The 23,836-nt window shown below is 41.6% G+C and overlaps 1 annotated feature.

Moving 5' to 3' along the window:
• Positions 16,425-16,603: a silencer, noted in NCBI's record as "fragment chr3:142635932-142636110 (GRCh37/hg19 assembly coordinates)". NCBI's record gives its function as "represses an EF-1alpha promoter that drives an FKBP-Casp9 reporter gene in an ReSE screen in K562 erythroleukemia cells {active_cell/tissue: K562}" and the evidence as "EXISTENCE:reporter gene assay evidence [ECO:0000049][PMID:32094911]".

The following is a 23,836-nucleotide window of genomic DNA, read 5'->3' on the forward strand; positions in this document are numbered from 1 at the left end:
ATCCAAAATACTAGCTCCATTACGTTCATTTTGAAACATAATAATGATTACCTTAATATTGTTCTAAGAAACAGTAAATTCCAACACTTAAGTATAACACAGCTAATTATCTAGATGCTGTCCAATACAGTAGCTATAGCATCTAGATAATTAGCTGTGTTATACTAAGTGTTGGAATTTACTGTTTCTTAGCTACAAGTGGCTATTCAATTTAAACTTACATTAATTAAAATAAGGTTTTAAAAAAATTAGTTCCTCAGTTGTGCTAGTCACATTTCAAATGTCCCAAGAGCCACAGGTACTGGACAATGCTGATCCAGAGGAAGGATTGGACTTCTAAGCTAAATTAGCTGGTATACTGGAGAGTCAAACAGCTTCTCACTTATAAATGGTTAAACAATAAGTTTGACCTTAGCAAATGCTTTTAACTTCTCTCTTTGCTATGAGAACTCCTTTCCCCCTTTCCTTTTTCCCTTGGTCCTTCCTTCCCTTTCTTGGTTTATTCTTTTGTTTTCTGGTGAGAAAACAAAAAAACTCCTAAACATTCACAACAGGATTAGCCTTCCCCTCTCACATTTGGGGTTTAAAGCCCAAAGGAAAAGACAGATCAGTTAGAGTTTCAAGACAGTGGCCGGGCATGCTGGCTCATGTCTGTAGTCCCAGCACTTTGGGAGGCTGAGGCAGGTGGATTGCTTGAGGCCAGGAGTTCGAGACCAGCCTGGCCAACACGGCGAAACCTGGTCTCTAATAAAAATACACAAATTAGCCGGGCATGGTGGCAGGCACCTGTAATCCCAGCTACTCGGGAGGCTGAGACACAAGAATCACTTGAACCCGGGAGGCGGAGGTTGTAGTGAGCTAAGAATGTGCCACTGCACTCCAGCCTGGGCAACGGAGCGAGAATTTGTCTCAAAAAAAAAGAAAAGAATAGAAAGAAAAAGAAAAAAGAAATAGTAATCAGCTAGGGATCCATACCCTTCCTCTTGGAAATGAGCTTTCACCTAGGTTAAATCCAATGTTTTAGAATTAAACAAGATCATATCATCTTAATTCTATGTTTTACTTATCCAAGTAAAAAAAAAAGACCTTAGAGCTACAAAACATGAAAAATATATTTGAAAGTTAAGAAAAATAGCTTTAATTATATTTTCAGAGGAGATTTTAAAAATCAATTACGTTTTCCTAAAGACATATTCCTAAAATTTTACAATATGTAAAAAATATGATCATTTTAAAGATTCAGAAATAATTTTATATTTAGTATGATCAAATGTCATGTCTACTAGTGACACTGATGCATAGTAATAGAATCTTACCCATCACACCAGATACTAATTTTAATCAAGTAATCTTTACGTGAGTAGAAACATTCATTCACAGCCGGGTGCGGTGGCTCACGCCTGTAATCCCAGCACTTTGGGAGGCCAAGGCAGGCGGATCACGAGGTCAGGAGATCGAGACCATACTGGCTAACATGGTGAAACCCCATCTCTACTAAAAATACAAAAAACTAGCCGGGCGTGGTGGCGGGCGCCTGTAGTCCCAGCTACTAGGGAGGCTGAGGCAGAAGAATGGCGTCAACCCGGAAGGCGGAGGTTGCAGTGAGCAGAGATCGCGCCACTGCACTCCAGCCTGGGCGACAGAGAGAGACTCCGTCTAAAAAAAAAAATTCATTCACTTTATCGATTGTGCAGCATATGTGAATCTTACAGTTATAGATCAAGATGTCTCAGAAATGGGACTTTCTTTATTCCTCTATAACTGAAACTAAACCATCTCTCAAGCCCCAGATAGCAGAAAATCTATTCTTGCCAAATGACTCTAAACTGAATAATTTCCAGATTCTTCTCAGTTTATTTTGGATAATAACTCAGGCAATTCAGTCATATCCTGGGTTGGTACACTTCCCTTCTCTTCTCTTTCTCCAAGGGGCGATCTCATTTATTCATTCATCAAATATTTATTGAGCTCCGCTTATGCACCAGGAACTATAGTAGTGGGGGTATAGCAGTAAAGAAGAAAAATTCTTGCTCTTGAGGAGTATATGTTCCAATGGGAAGATGAACAATAAGGAAGCAAACAAATACATGAAAAATATCTTCAGTGATAAACACTCTGTAGAGAATTAAAACAATGTGGTGTGATAAAGAAGCCTGGGTGAGCAGGGAGTCCTTACTGTGGTAGTATTTAGACTGAGAGCTGAACAATAAAAGAATAAGAAAGGGAAAAGAGCCCTTCAGGTGAAGGGAACAGCAAGCAAAAAGACTCAAGTCGACCGTGAGAAAGAGCTTGGATTGTAAAAAGTTTCTGAAGGCTTGCAAGGTCTCCAGCCACCAGCAAAAGGGACACTGCCTCTCCTCCCTGACCCTGAGCAAAGCACAAGGCTGCCTCAATAAGAGAGGGACCTGGGAAACTAGAAAATTCTAGGAAAAAAAATTCAACATTATCTTAGAGTTATACAAAAATAAAAAATCTTTGATAAGCTTGTGCATTTCTTATCTTTTATTTTCCATTCCTTGCCTTTCTTATTTTTGGGGTTTAGTAGAAAATAAAAAGGGTAGTAGGAAAGTCTAAATCGAGCTTGATAATAGCGTAATTTGAAGGAAGACACAAGAGGACCCTTTTTCTTGATGGGAACATTGTCTTTCAATTGAGCACCCAAAAAGACAACACATATCACAGAGTTGTTTGGGACCTCCTTTATGTTAATGTGATTTTTAAAAACGTGTCACAAATAAATGAACTAATGTATTCTTTATATTCTTTAAAAAGTTTTTATTCCTTGAGGATGTGTCATCTATCCATTCCATTTGTCCATCTGTCCGTTCATCCACCGTTGGGCAGATTTAATTGAACGTTCAAAGGTGAGCTCCTCTTCCAGTCAGTCTTCTGTGATTTCTTCAGCCCTCATTTATCTCTCTTCCCTCAGAATCTCTATAGCTCTTTCTTCACACTGCACAATTTAGCACCTTATGATGTGTTAATGTACATTATCCATTCTGATCATCACAAAGGTGGCAAGAATTAGACAGGGTAGATATGGCTATATTCCTATTTTAATAATGAGGAAGCCATGGCCCAGAGTATTGACATACATGAATATTCTGTTATTCTAGTAAATATGCATCTGCCTACTTTCTTACAAAGTTAAACATATACTTTTGACTTGGAGATCCCACTCCTAGGTAATTTGCCCAAGAGAAATAAAAACATATGTCCACACAAAGACTTGTACACAAATGCTGATTGTAGCTTTATTCATAACAGCTAAAAGCTGAAATAGCCCTCGTGTTTATCAATAGAATAGATAAACAAGCTGTGGTATATGTATACAATGGAAAACATTATACTGGCTGGGCTAGGTGGTTTATGCCTGTAATCCCAGCACTTTGGGAGGCCGAGGCTGGTGGATCACTTGAGGCTGGGAGTTTGAGACCAACCTCGCCAACATGGTGAAACCCCATCTCTAGAGAAAATACAAAAATTAGCCAGGCATGGTGGCTGCACCTGTAATCCCATCCTAGCTACTTGGGAAGCTGAGGCAGGAGAATTGCTTGAACCCAGGAGGCGGATGTTGCAGTGAGCTGAGATTGTGCCACTGCACTCAAGCCTGGGCAACAGAGCAAGATCCCCAACTTAAAAAAAAAACCAACAACAAACAAACATATATATACATATATAACTGAGGTGGCCCTACCTGTGGCCTGGCCTTGGTAAACACTGGGACAGAGGGGTGAGTTGGTGGTAGAGCAGGAGAGGAGAGAAGGAGGCAGGGACTATGTCTGGGTCTGTGGGTAAGCCAGGGCTCCCTGAGAGTTGGGGAGCCTCTCAAGACTGCAGCACTTGCTGGCTTCCTTCAGAGGCTGAGGCTCTCCAGTGGAAAGGAAGTGAAAATTTTCCCAAAGTGTGGACTCCAGAGAAGATGGCTGCTTACAAGTGAGATGACAGAAATCGGTCCTTCTGGAGAATCTGACTTGGTGCTGGTCACTTGGAGCCCTATGGTGTTGAGCTGCTCCAGATTCCTGGTGACAGCAAGACTGGTGCTGAGACGAAGGTTTGTTGTCAACGCTCCCTTCTTGTAAGAACAGTGCCCAGATTGTCCTTTTGGACTCTTAGAGCAAGTTGTCCTGGTGAGGACAGCTCCACCCATCTCTAAGTGGGAGCGATGACTCAGGCCACAGTTAATCAGAGCTTCACCCTGCCTAGCCACAGGGATTTCTTCAGGGGCATATGACTGCCACCTCCCCAGAGCCACTGGGATGCTGTGAGACATTTTCTGAAACAGTGGCATGTGGTAGTATTCTTTCCTCTAAAGCCGAGACTTGAGACGATACAGGGTCAAATCTGCTGTCGCCATCTTGAGAGCACTGGGGCCACCGCAGAGGAAATGGATAAGAGACAGAGAGAAACCAGCCATGCCTAACAGGTCTACTCTTGGGCGTTTTGTTGTTGTTGTTGTTTTCTCACTCAGTTCCCCAACAAGTTTACTTCTTGCTTAAACCCACTGGGGTCGGATTTTCTGTTACATGAGGCTGAAGTTGGCAAGTTCCTGTTACTGCCTCTATCTGGAATTCCCCTATGTGGTCACATCCCCATCTACTGGCAAAGACCTTCATCTCTTTCAAGACTCACTTTAAGCACCGACCACCTGTATGCCTTTCCTACCCGCTGCCTCTCATGGCACTGATTCCTCCTTTATTTTCCCCCATTGTACTCTGTACACACTTTTATCATAGCACCTAAATTATTTGAAACCCCTTGTTTCTATGGGTATGGGTTTCTGTCTATAAGATCATCAATCTGTTGAAGGTAGGGGCTATTTGTGGGCTTTGTGTCTTCAGAGTCTAGCCCAGTGTCTGACACATGGTAGGTTTATGACTAGTATTTGTTGCATGAATGAATGAATGGATGAGGCAAGAGCCTGCCCCTAAGTTTTGTTAATAAAAGATATTCACATCTCAGCAGGTAAACACAGTGAGGCCTTGAAGAACTTGGAATGGATAATGGAAGGAACCAATCTACTTGTCAGTTGGTCTGTCTCAATGTCCTTGGGCATCACTCAACACTGGGACTCCCAGGCCAGGAGAATGATTCATGCTTAGGAGCAGAAAGTTCAGAGCTGTTTAAATGCTACCTGTACCCAGCACTGATTTTTGTAGCAACTATTGCCGAACTGCTCCCAGGTAGGGAGCTCAGTGGCTGGCTCTGGACAACCAGAGGCATAAAACTGAGGAAATGAAATGGGAGCTGATGAAGCAGTTTCTAAGCATTTAATACATTCTTTTTGATCATTTGAATTTGTTTCTTATAGGCATTTTTTTCTCTCCATTAATATGAGAAACTGTGTAGGGTTGTAAATATGACCAATAGTGTTTCAGTAGACAGCATGGTCAGGCGTGAGCAGGGCACGAGAGGGTTCCCCACACACACACTAGGAATGTCAGGTGACCACCAGGTGATAGTCAGGCAGTTTTGTTAACTGTCTCTCTAAAATAATAATTGGTCACAGCCAGTGCCAGGAGAAGGCAGTCTCCTAAAAGAAAACACCTGAAACTGGTTATCAGCAGCTTCCCGATGAGATCTCAGGAGTTGAGTGAGGGGGCTCAGGCATGCTCATTAGGAGACAAAATGGCAAAGTCTAACTGGCATATGACCTTCTTCTAGGAATGCTAGACTGGTAAGGGGAGAGCTCCTCAAGTGAGCATGCATACAACTCCAGTAAACATACTGGGTGTGGCCCCTCCCAAGCGTGTCACGTGCGGGCAGCATGCAGGCTGCCCACCCCAAGGGAAGACTCAGGGGATAAGTAACGCAAGACCCCGGAAGTATGCCGACATATAAAACCCCAAATCAAGAAGTCAAACGGTGCACTTGATCTCTCAAGTTGCCTGCTTGGCCCTCTTCCGAGTGTACTCTTCTTCCTTTCATTCCTGCTCTAAAGCTTTTTAATAAACTTTCACTCCTGCTCTAAAACTTGACTCTGTCTCTCCTTCCACCATATGCCCCTCAGTCGAATTCTTTCTTCTGAGGAGAATTGAGGTTGCTGCAGACCTGTACAGATAGGGATACGCTGCCAGAACAAAATTAGATTAATACATGTAAACAGAAAATGTTTGAAGCACCACATAATTTTCTAAAATTGTCTTTAAGACAATTGCAGTAAATAGGCCTTCTTAACTGTCATGTTTTCGTTTACTGATGTTACTGGAAGAGGTCTTGACTGAAAGTTGTCCAGGTTCTTGGCATTTTGAAGAAAGAATTGGACAAAATGCACGGCAAAGCAAGGAAACAATGAGGCAATGAAAGCAGAGAGTTATTGCAAATGAAAGTACACTCCACAGTGTGGGAGTGGGCCTGAGCAGCAGCTCAAGGGCCCCAGATACAGAATCTTCTGGGGTCCAAATACCCCCTAGAGGTTTTCCACTGGCCACTTGGTGTTCACCCCATGTAAATGAAGTGGTGGCCTGCAATCAGTCTGGAAAGCAACCAATCAGAGGTTAAAGTGAAGTTACAAAGTTACACTTCTGTGCAAACCAAGGCTTGACCCGCAATCAGTCTGATTGGACAGTAACCAATCAGAAGCTGAAGTGAAGTTCTAAAGTTACACTCCTGGCCAGGCGCGGTGGCTCACGCCTGTAATCCCAGTACTTTGGGAGGCCAAGGAGGGCAGATCATCTGAGGTTGGGAGTTCGAGACCAGCCTGACCGACATGGAGAAACCCCACCTCTACTAAAAATACAAAAAAAAAATTGGCCAGGCGTGGTGGCGCATGCCTGTAATCCCAGCTACTGGGGAGGCTGAGGCAGGAGAATCACTTGAACCCGGGAGGTGGAGGTTGCAGTGAGCTATGGCGCCATTGCACTCCAGCCTGGGTGACAGAGCGAGACTCTGTCTCAAAAAAAAAAAAAGTTACACTCCTATGCAAACGTTTTCAATTTTCCATCCGCTGCCAGGAAAGGTGGGGTTTTGCAAAGGGAGTAGCCTCTGGTCCTTTTGGTACTTAGATGTGGAAAGTTGGGGCTTTCCTTTCGATTTAGTTCTAGGAAGTCAGGGTGAATCAGCCTTAGTTACCTGCCTCCAGACCCTATTCTCCTGCCTCGCTGATCTTGTTGGCTTTCCCTGTTTCCCAAATTAGAAGGTGGCCAACTCCAAACTCTATTATCTATTAGCTAGAAGACTGGGCAAAGTCATTCAACATAACAAGGTTATAATTTTAGCACCTCTTCAGTGAGACAATAAAACCATCGTCCCTACTTACATCTCATAGTTATAATGGGAGTAAATGAAAAGAGAAAAGGGAAATGAAAATTAGCTTGCATGCCTTCACATTCCCAGTCTTTTTCTGCTTGTTTCATAGATTGCATCTGTCAGGATACTCTTCGTTGAGAGTGACAGAGAAAAATAACACAAACACCCTTAAGCAAAACCAAGATGCATTGGCTCTCATAACTGAAAAATCTAAAGGCAGATCTAGACTCAGATGGTATCACTGGAATCCAACCACTCTCTCTCTCACCTCTGTTCTCCATGCTAGCTCAATTTGCAAACATTACTGTCCCACAAGGTTACAAGATGCCTGCAGCAGCAGCAGACCTCATTTGAATCTATTATCAAAGAAGTAATTATCCTTTTCCTAGAATTCCCAGCAAAACCACATTGAGTTTTATTGGCTTTGTTTGAATCATGTACTCATCCCTGAACAAATCATTGTGACCAAATGAAAAGATATTCTTTCTAATTGGCTAGGCTTGTATAACATGCCATACATCAAGTCAAGGGTGGAGTCAACTGCACCGTAATTTTATGAACTGAGACAGGTAGAGCTTCTGATCCTCCTGAGGAAAATCATGCCATAGTTACCAGGTAGACGAATGGAGGCTGAGTGACAACAGATGCCCATTACCCAGATGCAGCTCTTAATACCTCAGGCCACAAGGCGGGTGGTAGTGGCAGGAGGCAGATGGGAGGGACAAACAGGTTTACAAAAGCATACAAACTAGAATTCTTCTGGCTTTATCCCCACCTGCTGTGTGGAAACCCCAGCCCCTCAGCTTCCTCCCAAATTGTCCTGGGTGTTCCTAGAGGCTCTCCTAATGAGGAGTTTCATGTGCACTTATAAAATAGTTCTTTGGGATAACACTCAGCACCTGTAACCCCTCTCTTCCTTTGCTATGGTCTCCTGCGAATTTTCTGTGGCTGCCAAGACCAAGATGCTCACAGTACCAGTGCTGCTGCTACTGTCTCAAATGTTCCAGAAGCAGCAGAGACACTGTGTATATTGTTGAAAGGAATAAACCCTTCAAAAAATGGTGTCTCTTCCCACTTCTCCAAGTGCCTTGAGGACGGTACCCTCACTCTCATTTCTGCCACCCACTCCCTCTTACTTGATAGATGGAGGCCAGGAGTTGTGTGCCCAGCCAATGGGTAAGCCAAGAGATGGGGCTAGGAGACCATTATTTGTGATTGTAAAATCAAGGGTATGGAGCCGTACAGCCAAGGGCAATTCCTGGATGTAGTGCCCTGCTCAAACCCCAGCTCAGAGCCCAAGTACAGGAAGTGAATGAGGGGAGTAGATGGTTGAGGAGCACCAAGGTGGAGAGATGGACTTGAGCTTGAGTTAATTGCCTGATTAGTATCACATAGCTTCTCTCCCAGAGCTGCTGGTGGGTAGGCTAGAATTCCGAGAGGGGCTATGCTTATTGACTTGGCCACAGATATTTTAGTTAAAAACAGGCTTGTGAGTTGTTACCTACTTTTTCTTGCTGCCCTCTTGCACTGTGAGTTCCAGAGGCTGGGCTGGCCATGAGTCAACGTGATAGACTACTGAGAACCATGCCTCTCCTTCAGTGCTAGCTTTTATTGTCGTTGGACCAGGCCCAGTGTCCCAACTCTTTCTCCCCTAGGTGGGTATTTCCCTGGGGCTCATTTCTTCTTCATGGAAACACATGCCTGGGAAGGATGGTAGCAGTGAAGCTGACCACCCTGCTGGTCCTCCAGGCAGTGTTTAAACACTGAAGAATGGACATTATAAATGCTAACATCATCTAATACCAACTGAGATCTTGCTATGTGGCAGGCAGAATTTTAAGGACTATATATGTATTGTCTCATTCTCTCTTTATTGTGAGTTAGGAGCTATTATTAGCCATAGTTTAGAGATGAGATCATTGAGGCAAAGAAAGGTTTAGTGAATGTCACCCTACCTTGTCAGATATTTGTCTATGTCAATCACTGATATATTTCCAGTGCTCAACACTGGAACTCTCAGTGCCTGACTTTCTATATGTTATTCTACTTTATTTTACAGAGACAGGATCTCACTCTGTTGCCCAGGGTGGTCTTGAACTCCTGGCCTCAACCCATCCTTCCATCTCAGCCTCCCGGAGTGCTGGGATTACAGGCATGAACCACTGCACCTGACCTCAGTGCCTAACTTATAGCAGTTATTCAGTAAATGTTTATTGAATTGATGGAAGGTTGAGTGGGTCCTGTGGTGGGCCTCCCTGATCTTGCATTCAGGACCAAGGCACTCATTCCCTCAGCTGCTAAAGGCTCTTAGCTGGCATCTGTCCAGGAATTTCCCACAGAACATGTTTACAACCCTTTCCCAAGGACAACACCCAATGACTGGTCTATGCTGGAGATAAAGGATACGTCCCAATTTTGGAGGACTCTGAAAAGGCCACCCCAGTTCCAGCTGAGGATGGAATTAGTAGAGGCATCTGTTGCATCTGCATAGGAGTTCAGCCTCTCCCTCTGCCTGGCCCTGCTTCCCTCACTTCTTTATGGGTGTCATTACTGACTACACCCCTCCGTGAACCACTTGCCCATGAGTCTCCATCTCAAAGTCTGTTTCCAGGGAAACTGACCCAAGGCAGTTGGAATGTGTTATTCACACAGCCTTGTGGCTCCCACCTCAACAATACTCTGTATAGACTGGCTCTTTCTCTGAAGCCATTTAAGGCAACATGGTAGCTGCTTGCTCCCAAATACAGTGTTGTGAAAACCTATGCTGTCCTCTCTGAAACCAGGAAGTTCAAGAAGATGCCACCTCTTAACCCTGCTGTTCTCACTAAAGCTGGACTCCTTGTTCAGCCCTGCAGCTGGGAATGGCTCTCGCCATCATGCCCCAGTGCAGATCCCTGCCCTATGCCACAGCAATAAGTCAAGACACAAACAATGATGCTTCTTTCCCATGGAACTCTCTCAGGAGCTCCACCCCTGCTTTGCGGCACTTCTATATGCCCTCCCCCGGCAACACTCTCAGGCCATGCCAGTGGCCAAGGCTTCAGTGACCAGTACCAGTGTTCCCCCAGTGAAGTAATGGCACCCTGGCCATTGGTTCAGTCTTTGCCTACCTGTGAGGTGAATTTCCTCAGAGCTCTCTTGTTCTTTCTTCCCATCTGCCTGTTGTCAGGCCACATTCTGTATACTTTTGAACCACAGAATGGGTCTACTTCCTCCCCTCTGCTCCTTTGTAATTTTCCTGACTCTCCACTCCCCTTATCTCTCCCCAAGAACCACCAAGCTCTGCAAATAGTACTGAATTTGTTGAAGCCAGGAAGGAGGAGAGGTGTAGGAGAAGACAAGATCTGTTTGCAGAGACAAGACTCAGACAACATCTTCTCATCAACTTGATGAACCTGGCTTCTTTACTTCGTCATCTATGATATGGGGATGCTTCATTACTTTGTTAAGATAATTCAGTAAGGGAATGCATGCAAAGCACTTGGTATTGTGCCCAGCATGGAGTGAATGTGCCATAAGTGGCATTTGTGCCAGTTACCAGACTTTGGTTTCTTAGCTCCAAACCCACCCTTCTGTGCTTTGTGAACTGGGACTCTGCAGATCCCATTGCTGTTTTACCAGTTGTTCCCTGTCGGGCTTTGTCAATAGGGAAACCAGAGGGAGTCTGTGAGGCTGGAGGAAGGGAAGGGGACTGGCTCTTCCCTATGGACGTGTAGCTACTTCCTGTTCCCATGAGTATCACATCAGCAGCTTCTGGATCCAGTTTGCAGTTTTTCCCTCACTTGCAGGACCAGTCTCATTGCACACCACCCCCAGCCCCCACCACAACCCCTAGAAATGTCAACACAAACCTGTTGGTGCCCCAAATGTCCTATGTTGCTCTTCCAGCTTGTTCCCCCTCCCCCCATCTTCAGGAATGGTAGCTGTTTCTCTTATTATCTTTTCAGTTACCTAGTGAACAACTGGTGTGGCTTCTGTCTCCTGATTGGACTCTGATGAATACAACATAGTTTTTCTATTTTATGAATGAGAAAACAAAGGCTCATGTAGGTTAATGAACTCTCCAAGGCCACAGAGTTGGGAGGTAGCTCTTTAGGATTTGAACTGAGGTCTACCTGATGCCAGAACTGGTGCCTTTTGTAATTTAGAACACAGCTGAGATAAGCCATGTTGCTCTCACTCCAGGACACTGTCACCTTTTCATTCCTTCTTTGGCCTCACCCAGTGCAATATGTGAGGATGTTCTCCACCCTCTACCCTGGGCCTGGAACTACGGATGAAGCACAGCTGCGGCATGGTTGAAAATGTGGCATTAAATGCCGCTGCCTCTGAAGCTAGCTTCCTCTCTAAGATCCTGTATTTAAGAAGATGATTCTAACCAACTTTTGAAATGTTCAGTAAGTAAAAAGGAATAAATCGTAAATCAGTTATGAAACTCTCAGATGCTAGTGAATCTAAGAGGATTCACTAAGGGTTATAAAATTATCTTGACAGAAACAGATTCCCTAGGCCTGACCCAGAATTCTGTGAAGAGAAGAAAAACCCTCAAAACAGTGCTATTTTGACTTCACTTTTATTTTAAAAGAAGTTTCATGGAGTACTTTTTGATGGAAGGCAGGTGGTCAGAGAGAAGAAAGGGAGTCAGGCCAGAAGAGAAATCTTTCGTATCAAGCAAGGATGGACTACTCATCTTTTAAAGACAAGAAGCCGGCGTTCTAATAGACTAGTCGGGGAAAGGCACAATGACATTACTGGGAATCTGGCCAAAGCAGGGACTATTAATGGATGTTTCTGACTTTGTTCGGAATATTCCTGGAACTCAATGTCTTTATAAAGCCATACAGATATAATTTTTTTCTAATATGAAGAACACCACAGTCCATTAACAGAAATTGATCTATATTTTAATTTAACTTAATTAGAAATAGTATCCCAAAGAAAAACAAGTGAGTTGTCAAATAATCATTGTCAAGAAAGAATGAGTAATGTTATTAGACAAATGGAAAAAGCCGTTCTGTTTATGAAAACAGAAAATACAGTCCAAGTCCTGGATCATTACCTAGGAATGAGGGCAGAGTTCTCATTCCAGGCTGTGATAAGTTGCAATGCTTGATATTTTTCTGCTGGGAAAAACAGAATGAAGTAAACCAAAAAGTCATTTTTATAAATTTGAAGAACTAAGGCACCTAATTTTGTGTTACTAAGAAAGAATGTCCCTAGGAAAATCACTTATAAATAAAATTTTTGTAAGAAATAGATTCTCAGAATAATGCCAGAGACTTGAACATTCAGAATTTATTAAATATTAAGTGTTGCCAAGTAAAAGCCAAGAAAGGTAAATATTTCCCCTATCTAGCTGCTTCTCTCTATTATTCCAACATTTCACGTTTTCGTCGACTATATTCTACCTGGCTATTTCTAGGAGGTTCCTGTTTTTTATGCTGTTTACTCATTACTGAATGTAAAGAAAGAAAAACGACAGAATCCACTGATTTTTCTGCCCATCTGATAGCTTCCTAAAGTAACATATTTTATAAGCTTTTGCATGACTATTACTAAGAGCACTGTTAGAGTATTTCCTAAGATTATTATTTTTTTCATTCTTCAGTCAGCAATGAAAGTCATGGCAGTGTGGTGTTCTGGATAAGATCACACTCTTCAATAGCCGACATACCTGTGTTTGGAGACTTGGTTCAACCATTCACTAGCTGCATGACCTTGGGGAGATTACTTAACTTCTCCAAGCCTTAATTTCCTCATCTGTAAAATGGGGTAATGAAAGTAGCCACCTTATTGGACTGAAGAGTAAATCAAATTATCTACTTGGCACACAGTATGTGTGTGTCATTCCATGGGGGAGTTACTATTTAATAAGAATGCAGGGGCCCAGAACAGGATTGGAGTGAGGGTTACCTCTTGCTAAGGCATCAGCTGTGTATGATAAAGAAACACACCCATGATCCATGATAATTGATACTTTAGAAATTTTATTGTATATGTTTAAGGTGTACAACATGATGTTTTGCTATACATATACATCATGAAATGGTTACTGTAGTCAAGAATATAAACATATCCATCATCTCACATAACTACCCATATTTTATGTGTGTGGCAAGATCACCTACATTTGCTCTTTTAGCAAAAATTTTAAATACAATACAATATTATTAACTATAGTCCTCACTTGCATATTACATCCCCAGACTTGTTTAGCCTACATATCTGCTACTTTCTATCCTTTGACCTATATCAAAGGATAGAAATCCCCCGTTGCCTCCTCCCTCAGCCCTTAGCCCTCCCTTGTATCTCTGGGTATTTGAATTTTTTAAAAAATAGATTTTATTATACCCTAAATATTGACTTTTTAAATTGACACTTTTATTCATTCACTTATTTATTCACATTTATTGATCCCTTACTGCATAAGAAGAGCTTACAAAATGTTAGGTAAGCTACAACCCACATCCCCAAGAAACTAAAAGTGAAATAAGGGCATGTGAGTAAGATCCAAATAACTTAGATACAGAAGATAAGGAGGGACATTAGAGTGGGACAAACAATGAGTGCTAGAGATTCTCAGCATGGAGAGTTGTGAGGTTCCTAAAGCCAGAGAAGGTCAGTGCAGGTGGGAGGGTTATACCAGCGCTTAGCAATGGCCATTTCAGGTGGAGGAAACAGCATCAACCCGGAAATGGAGACAGTGAAGTCTGTAGTTTATGTGGGGAACAGTGATTAACCTGTTTGGCTGAAGCAAGGGGCCAGGAGAGTGGAGAATAGAAGGAAATTGTCTTAGTTCGTTTGGACTGCTGTAACAAAATACTTCAGACTGGATAGATTATAAACAACAGAAATTGATTTCTGCCAGTTCTGGAGGCTGGGAAGTTCAGCAACAAAGTGCTGGGAGGCTCAGTGTCTGGTGAGGACCTACGTACTGGTTCACAGATGTCTTCTCACTGTGTCCTTACCGGGTAGAAGGGGCAAAAGGGACTTCCTTTATAAGGGCACTAATCCCATTCATGAGGGCTGTACCCTCATGACCTAATTACTTTCCAAAGACCCTATCTCCTAATATCACCATTTTGGAGATTAGGATTTCAACATAGGAATTTTGGGGGAACAACAAACATTCAGACCATAGCAGAAATGAAGCTGGTTAGAGTTAAACTTTGGAGGGCCTTGAATAGCAATAGACTGGAGAGTTTTGTTGGCTTTGCTTTTGTTTTTTTGTGTGTTTTTGTTTTGTTTTTAATTTTTATTTTTGAGACAAGGTCTCACTCTATTGCCCAGGCTGAAGGGCAGTGGTGGAATCATGGCTCACTGCAGCCTCAACCTCCTCGTCTCAAGTGATTCTTCCACCTCAGCCTCCCGATTAGCTGGGACTACAGGCAGGCACCACTACATCTGGCTAATTTTTCATATTTTTTTGTAGACATGCAGTTTCGCCATGTTGCCCAGGCTGGTCTCAAACTCCTGGGCTCAAATGATCCACCTGCCTCGGCCTCCCAAAGTGCTGATATTATAGGTGTGAGCCACCATGCCTGGTGTATTAGTCCATTCTCACGCTGCTATGAAGAAATACCCGAGACTGGATAATTTATAAAGAAAAGAGGTTTAATTAACTTACAGTTACACATAGTTGGGGAGGCCTCAAGAAACTCACAATCTTGGAGGAAGGCACCTCTTCGTAGGGTGGCTTGAGAGAAAATGAGCGCCAGCAGGAGAAATGCCAGGCACTTATCAAACCATCAGATCTCATGAGAACTCACTCACTATCACAAGACCAGCATGGGGGAAACCACCCCCATGATTCAATTACCTCCCACCAGGTCCCTCCCACAACACGTAGGGATTATGGGGATTACAATTCAAGATGAGATTTGGGTGGGGACACAGCCAAACCACATCACCTGGTCTGCTTTGTTTTTATATACGTGTTGCTATGGAGCCACTGGTAGCATCCAAATGAGCTCATGTCTCTTTTGCCTGCTGCCTGCCCCCGCAGCTGCTTCTACCTTTCTCTTCTCCTTTCAGCTATACTTCTTGAAAATCTTGCCTAAATGTTTTTTTCTGAAATTCAGATGCTTCTACATCCACAGCAACCTGGCTTCCATTCCATCATTCTACTTGGATCTGGCTCATCAAGCCCATTGATGATCTTATTGCCACTTTGCAGTCCATACCATGTTGACACATTGACCCTCTCTCCTTATTTCATCCAGCATCTCTGGCTGCTCTTTCTCATTCCTTGGCAGGCTTGTCTTCCTCTGCCCATCCTTAACTATCAACATGCCTTGGGGATCTAACCACATTCCTCCTCCCTTTTCCTCATCTCTCCCTGAGGGATCTAGTGGTTCCTCTTCAGCTCTATATCACTACTTCCATGCTGAGGACACCCAGATCCTCATCTGCGGCCCTGTCCTCTCTCCTGGGCTTCTGAGCCATATTTCCACCTCTGCTTGGATGTCCCCCAGGCACCTGAACCCCAGTGTGTACAACTGAACTCATTGTGGGCCCCCATCCTGTGGTCTCTATCTTAATAAATTGCCAGCCATTGTCTAAGCCAGAAATCAAACGTCATTCAAGCCTCTACTCTCCTTCATTCCCAGCCACCAAGGCTTATTGCCTGTGCCTGTTTCTTGAAATCATCTACCTCTCTTCATCCTCATTGTCGTTGTCTTATATTCTCTGCTAGCCCTAAGTAGTCTTCCTTACAGGCAGTCTTGCCTTTTCCTCTCCATCTATTTTTACACTGTAACCCAGCCACTGTTGTTGTTTTTAAATGCAAATATGATCATATCATCTCCTTACTTAAAACCTTCAGTAGTCCCCATTACTCATAGGGGTGAGTTGCAGACTCATGATGGCTTACAGGCTTTACAGGATCCAGCCCTGAAATGACAAGGAAGTTTTATCCTAAGATTGCTTAGTGGTTTCCTATTCCCTCAGGATGGAGGCCAAACATAGGGGCTCACAAGACCTTTCATTCCCTGGCTTCTGCCTGGAATGCTTATCCAGTTCACATCTGGATTCTCACCCATGTGCACTCTGCCCTCTAGTCATCCTGAATCTCTTCCAGGTCCTCGAACGTGCCACACAGCTTCCTCTGTCCCCAGCCCAAGCACATGCTACCCCCTCTGCTCCCTCTGTATGGGACATTTGTCTTCCCTTCTACAACTGATATGTCCTGTTTATTTACACATTTAATTTAATTTAATTTATTTATTTATTTTGAGATGGCATCTTGCTCTGTCTCCCAGGCTGGAATGCAATGGCCCAATCTCGGGTCACCGCAACCTCCGCCTCCTGGGTTCAAGCGATTTTCCTGCCTTCGCCTCCCAAGTAGCTGGGATTACAGGCGCCTGCCACCATGCCTAGCTAATTTTTGTATGTTTTAGTAGAGATGGGGTTTCGCCATGTTGGCCAGGCTAGTCTCAAACTCCTGACTTCAGGTGATCCACCCTCCTCAGCCTCCAAAGTGCTGGGATTACAGGTGTGAGCCACCGCACCCGGCCAGAGCAGCCTTTTCAGATTGGCTTTTATCACTTAGTAATATGCATTTAAGTTTCCTTCGTGTATTTTCATGGTTTGATTGCTCATTTCTTTTTGGTACTAAATAATGTTTTGTTATCTGGAAGTACCACAGTTTACCTATCCACTCACTTACTGAAGGTCTTCTTGGAGCTTCCAAGTTTTGCCTATTATGAATAAAGCTTCCATAAATCTTCACGTATAGGTTTTCGTGGGGACCTAAGTTTTCAACTCCTTTGGGTAAAAACCAAGGAGTGTTATTGCTGGATCAAAGGGTATGGTTAGTTTTGTAAGAAACTGACAAATTGCCTTCCAATTATATTCCCACCAGCAATGAGTGAGAGTTCATGTTGCCTCACATCCTTTCCAGCATTTGATGTTGTGAGTGGTTGGATTTTGGCTATTCTAACAGGTGAGTGGTGGTGTCTCATGGTTTTGATTTTCATTTCCTTGATGACATATGATGTGGAGTATCGTTTTGTATTCTAACATGCCATCCACATGTCTTCTTTGGTGAGGCATATGTTAAGGTCTTTGGTTCATTTTTTTAAATTGGGTTTTTAATTTTCTTATTGTTGAGTTTTAAGAGCTTTTTGTACATTTTGGATAACAGTCCTTTATCAGAGACGTCTTTTGGAAATATTTTCTTCCAGTGTGTCACTTGTCTTATTCTCTTGTCGTTGTCTTTTGGAGAGCAGGAAAATTTTATTTTAATGAAGTCCAGCTTATCAATTGTTTCTCTCATAGATGGTGCCTTTTGTTTCATATCTAAAAAGTCAGTGCTAAACCCAAGGTCATCCAAATTTTCTCTTACATTTTATTCCAGGAGTTTCAAAGCTTTGTGTTTTACATTTAGGCCTGTGACCCATTTTGAGTTTATTTTCATGAAGGGTATAAGCTCTGTGTCTAAATTCACTTTCTGGCATGTCAATGTCCAGTTGTTCCAGCAACATTTCCTGAAAAGACTATCTTTCTCTATTGTATTGCCTTTGCTCCTTTGTCAAAGATCAGTTGAGTATATTTATGTGAGTCGATTTGTGGGCTCTCTATTCTACTCCACTGGTCTATTTGTCTGTTCTTTCACCAACACACATTCTCTTGATTACTGTAGCTTTATAGTAAGTCTTAAAGTTGAATAAAGTCAGTCCTCCAATTTTGTTCTTTTCCTTTAATACTGGGTTGGCTATTTTGTGTCTTTTGCCTTTAGAATCAGTTTGTTGATATCCACAGAATATTTTGCTAGAATTTTGATTGTCATTGCATTAAATCTATAAATCAAATTGGGAAGAACTGATATCTTGACAATATTGAGTCATTCTATTCATAAACATGAAATATCTCTCCATTTATTTAGTTATTGTTTTACTTCTTTAATCAGAGTTTTGTAGTTTTTCTCATTTTGTTAGATTTATACCTAAGTATTTCATATTTGGGGGCACTAATGTAAATGGTATTGTGTTTTCAATTTCAAATTTTACTTGTTCATTGTTTACATAGGAAGGTGACTGACTTTTGTATATTAACTTTTTATCCTTAAACCTTTCTATAATCCCTTACTAGTTCTAGGAGGGTTTTCTTTGTCAGTTCTTTTGAATTTTCTACACAGGCAATCATGTTATCTGTCACAGTTTTATTTCCTCCTTCCTAATCTGTATACATTTTATATCGTATTCTTATCTTACTGCATTAGCTAGGACTTCCAGTATGATGTTAAGCACAGACATGAGAAGGGATATTCTTGCCTACTTCCTGAACTTAGTAGGAATGTATCAAGTTCCTCACAATTAAGTATGATGTTAGCTGTGTGTTTTTTGTAGACAATCTTTATTAAGTTAAGGAAATTCCCTTTCTAGTCCTAGTTTGCTGAAGCTTTTACCATAAGTGGGTGTTAGATTTTGTTAAATGCTTTTACGCATCAATTTATATGATTTTGTAATTTTTAAATTTGGCCTGTTGATGTGATGGATTACAATCCCATTTATGCCTAGTAGTCCATTATTGGAATGCTAAGCATGTGGGAGTTATTTTTATCTTACTGCTCAAGGTCATCTCCAAGGTCTGATTGCAAAATTTAAAAAATTGTAACCTCAGGTATAAATGGGTTAATTGATTTTCAAATGTTGAACCAGCCTTGCCTGCCTGGATAAATTCTACTTGGTTGTGGTGTGTAAGTCTTTTTATACTTTGTTGGATTCAATTTGCAAATATTTTGTTGAGGATTTTTTGCAACTGTGTTTATGAGAGATATTGGTCTACAGTTTTCATTTCTTTTTTTTTTTTTTTTTTTTTTTTTTTTTTTTTTTTTTTTGAGATGGAGTCTTGCTCTGTCGCCCAGGCTGGAGTGCAGTGGCATGATCTCGGCTCACTGCAAACTCCGCCTCCCGGGTTCAAGCAATTCTCCTGTCTCAGCCTCCCGAGTAGCTGGGATTACAGGTGCACCCTACGATGCCCAGCTAATTTTTGTTTTTTTAGTAGAGAAGGGGTTTCTCCATGTTGGCCAGGCTGGTCTTGAACTCCTGACCTCAGGTGATCCGCCAGCCTCAGCCTCCCAAAGTGCTGGAATTACAGGCATGAGCCACTGTGCCCGGCCTATAGTTTTCATTTCTTATGATATCTTTGTCTGGTTTTGGTATTAGGATAATGTTGGCCTCAAGGAATAAGTTCCGAAGTATTCCCTCTGCTCTGTCTCCTGAAAGAATTTTAAAAGAATTAGTGTGATTTGTTCCTTAAGTGTTTGATAGAATTCACCAGTAAACCCATCTAGGCCTGATGGTTTCTGTTTTGGAAGTTTACTAATTTTTGCTTTAATTTCTTAACAGGTATAGTTCTATTCAGATTGTCTATTTCTTCTTGTGTGATTTTTGGCATATTGTGTCTTTCAAGGAATTGGTTCATCTCATCTAGGTTATCAAATTTATAAACATAGAGTTGTTCATAGTATTTTTAAAATTCTTCTAATGTCCATGGAAGCTGTAGTGATGCCCTCTTTTAATTCCTGATATTAGTAATTTGTGTCCTCTTTCTCTTTCTCTTAGACTGGCTAGAGACTTATCAATTTTATTGATCTTTGCATAGAACTGGCTTTTGGTTTCATTGATTTTCTCTACTGATTTCCTACTTTCAATTTCATTGATTTCTTCTCTAATTTGTGGTTTTTTTTTTTTTTTTTTTTGAGATGGAGTCTCGCTCTGTCGCAAAGGCTGGAGTGCATCTTGGCTCACTGCAAGCTCTGCCTCCCAGGTTCATGCCATTCTCCTGCCTCAGCCTCCTGAGTAGCTGGGACTACAGGCACCTGCCACCACGCCTGGCAATTTTTTTGTATTTTTAGTAGAGATGGGGTTTCACCATGTTAGCCAGGATGGTCTCAATCTCCTGACCTTGTGATCTGCACGCCTAGGCCTCCCAAAGTGCTGGGATTACAGGTGTGAGCCACTGAGCCCTGCTCTTCTCTAATTTTTATTATTCTTTTTCTTCTGCTTATTTTGGATTTTATTTATTCCCCCTTTTTAGTTTCCTAAGGTAGAAGCTAAGATGATTGCTTTCAAGTCTTTCTTCTTTTCTAATATAAGCATCCAATGCAATAAATTTCTCTTAGGCGCTGCCTTTGCAACTTCTCACAAATTTTGATTTGATAAGTTGTATTTTTCATTTTCATTTAATTCAAAATATCTTAAAATGTCCCATGAGATTTCTTTTTCTTTTTTTCTTTTTTTTTTTTTTTTAGACAGAGTTTCACTCTTGTGACGCAGGCTGGGGTGCAATGGCACAATGGCCTCCTAGGTTCAAGTTGTTCTCCTGCCTCAGCCTCCCAAGTAGTTGGGATTACAGGCATGCACTACCAAGCCTGGCTAATTTTTGTATTTTTAGTAGAGATGGAGTTTTGCCATGTTGGCCATGCTGCTCTCGAACTCCTGACTTCAGTTGATTTATCTACCTTGGCCTCCCAAAGTGCTGGTATTACAGGCATGAACCACGGCGCCCAGCCCAAGATTTCTTTTTTTGATCCATGTGTTATTTACAAATATGTTGTTTAATCTCTCAAGTATTTTGAGACTTTACAGCTATCTTTCTGTTTTCCAGGTTAATTCTGTTGTGATACTGAGAACAGACATTGTATGATTTCTATTCTTTTTTTTTTTTTGAGACAGAGTCTCACTCTGTCGCCCAGGCTGGAGTACAGTGGCACGATCTTGGTTCACTGCAACCTCCACCTCCCGAGTTCAAGCGGTTCTCCTGCCTCAGCCTCCCAAGTAACTGGGACTATAGGCGCCCACCACCACGCCCAGCTCCTTTTGTATTTTTAGTAGAGACGGGGTTTCACATGTTGGCCAGGCTGGTCTCAAACTCCTGACCTCAAGTGATCTGCTTGCCTCGGCCTCCCAAACTGTTGCAATTACAGGTGTGAGCCACCGTGCCCAGCCTTATGATTTCTATTCTTTTAAATTTGTTGTGGTGTGTTTTATGGCCCAGAATGTGGTCTATCCATGTGAATGTTCCATAGGAGCTTAAGAAGATTGTGTGTTCTGCTATTGCTGGATGAAGTAGTCTCTAAGTGTTCATTATATCCAGTTGATTGATAGTGTTGTTGAGTTCAATTATGTCTGTACTGATTTGCTGCCTCCTGGATCTGCCCATTTCTTATAAAAGGGTGTTAAAGTCTCCAATTATAATAGTGGATTCACCTATTACTCCTTGCAGTTCCATCAGTTTTTCCTCATGGATTTTAATGCTCTGTTGTTAGGTGCATGTACATTAAAGATTATTGTATCTTCTTGGAGAATTGACCCCTTTATCATAATGTAATGTCTCTTTTTTTTTTTTTGAGACAGGGTCTTGCTCTGTCACCCAGGCTGGAGTGCAGTGGCATGATCACGGCTCACTGCAACCTCTGCCCCCTCAGGCTCAAGTGATCCTCCCACCCCAGCCTCCTGAGTGACTGTGACCACAGGCGCACACCACCATGCCCAGCTAATTTTTTTGTATTTTTTAGTAGAGATGGGGTTTCACCATGTTGCCCAGGCTGGTCTCTTACTCCTGAGCTCAAGTGATCCACTCACCTTAGCCTCCCAAAGTGCTGGGATTACAGGTGTGAGCCACCATGCCTGGTCTGTAATGCCTCTCTTTATCCCTGACACCTTTCCTTGCTCAGAAGTCTGCTTTGTCTAAAATTATTATAGCTGCTTCTGCTTTCTTTTGATTAGATGATATATTATTCTCCATCTATTTACTTTTAACCTGTATGTGTATTTTATTTAAAGTGGGTTTATTGTAGATAACATACAGTTTGTTCTTGTTTTTTTGGTTCATTCTGACAATGTCTGTTTTTAATTTTTTTTAAAGTATGTAGTTAAGAGATAGGGCCTCATTCTGTTGCTCAGTCTGGGTTGCAGTGGCACAATTACAGCTCACTGTAGCCTCAAACTCCTGAGCTCAAGTTATTCTTCTGCCTCAGCCTTCTGAATAACTAGGACTACAGGCATGTACCATGATGCTTGGCTAATTTAAAAAAAAAATTTGTACAGATGGGATCTCACTATGTTGTTTAGGCTGATCTCAAACTCTTGGCCTCAAGCAATCCTCCTGCCTCAGCCTCCCAAAGTTCTTGGATTCCAGGCATGAGCCATTATGCCCTTCCTTTCTGTCTTTTAAATGGTGCTCTTAGGCCATTGATGTTCAAAGAGATTGTTGATATAGTTAGATTAATATCTATGATGTTTGTTATTGTTTTTTATTTGTTGCCCTTGTTCTTTCTTTCTATGTTTGTTTTCTACTCTTATTCTGACTCTTGTGGTTTAATTGAGAATTTTATGATTTCATTTTTTTCTTCTTAGCAAATTAGTTGTACTTTTTAAAAACCTCTTTTAGTGGTTGCCCTAAATTTGCAATATCCATTTATAAATAATGCAAGTCTACTTACAAACAGTACTATATTGCTGCACAGATACTATGATATCTTATAACAAAATAATCCCAATTCTTCCCTCATATCCCTTGTAAAATTGCTGTCATTCATTTCAGTTGTGTATAAACATATATAAGAAAATATATATGAAAAAATATATGCATATGTAAGCATACATAGTCTAATACAGTGTGGCTATCATTATTTTGAGTAAACCGTTATTTGTTAGATCAATTAAAAATAAGGAAAATAAAAGTTTTAATTTTACCTTTACTAATTCCTCCTTTAATGTTCTTTCTTTCTTTACGTAGATTTGAGTTTCTGACTATATCATTTTCCTTCCTTCTAAAGAACTTCTTTGGCAACAAATTTCCTCAATGTTTGTTTGTCTGAGAAAGTGTTTATTTCTCCTTATTTTTGGAGGATAATTTTGCATAGTACAGAATGCTAGGTTGGTGCATTTTTTTTCTTTCAACAATTTATATATTTAATTCCACTTTCTTCTTACTTACATGATTTCTGAGGAGAAGTCAGATGTAATTCTTACCTTTGCTCTTCTATAGGAAGGGTGTTTTTTCTCTGGCTTCTTGTAGAATTTTCTCTTTATGTTGAGTTTCTGTACTTTGAAAGTGACATACCTAGGTGTAGTTTTTCTGGCATTTATCATGCTTGGTGTTCTCTAAGATGCCTAGATTTGTGGTTTGGTGTCTGACATTAATTTTGGGAAATTCTTAGTCCTTATCATATCAAATATTTATTCTGTTCCTTTCTCTCTTTCTTTTCCTTCTGATAGTCCCATTACACATATGTTATACCATTTGTAATTGTTTCAGAGTTCTTAGAGATTCTGGGGTTTTTTTTAAGTCGTTTTTTCTCTGTGCTTATCAGTTTGGGAGGTTTTTACTGAGATATCCTTATGCTCAGAGATTCTTTTCTCAGCCATGCTCATTCTACTAATAAGCCCATCAAAGGCATTTTTCATTTCTTTATTATTGTTATTATTTGAGTCAGGTTCTCACTTTGTCACCCAGGCTAGAGTGCAGTGGGGCAAACATGGCTCACTGCAACCTCGACCTCCCAGCTTCAAGTGATCCTCCTGCCTTAGCCTCTCAAGTAGCTCGGACAACAGGCATGCCACCATGCCCTGCTAATTTT

This window comes from Homo sapiens, chromosome 3, assembly GCF_000001405.40.
Source record: "Homo sapiens chromosome 3, GRCh38.p14 Primary Assembly".
Taxonomy (NCBI): domain Eukaryota; kingdom Metazoa; phylum Chordata; class Mammalia; order Primates; family Hominidae; genus Homo; species Homo sapiens.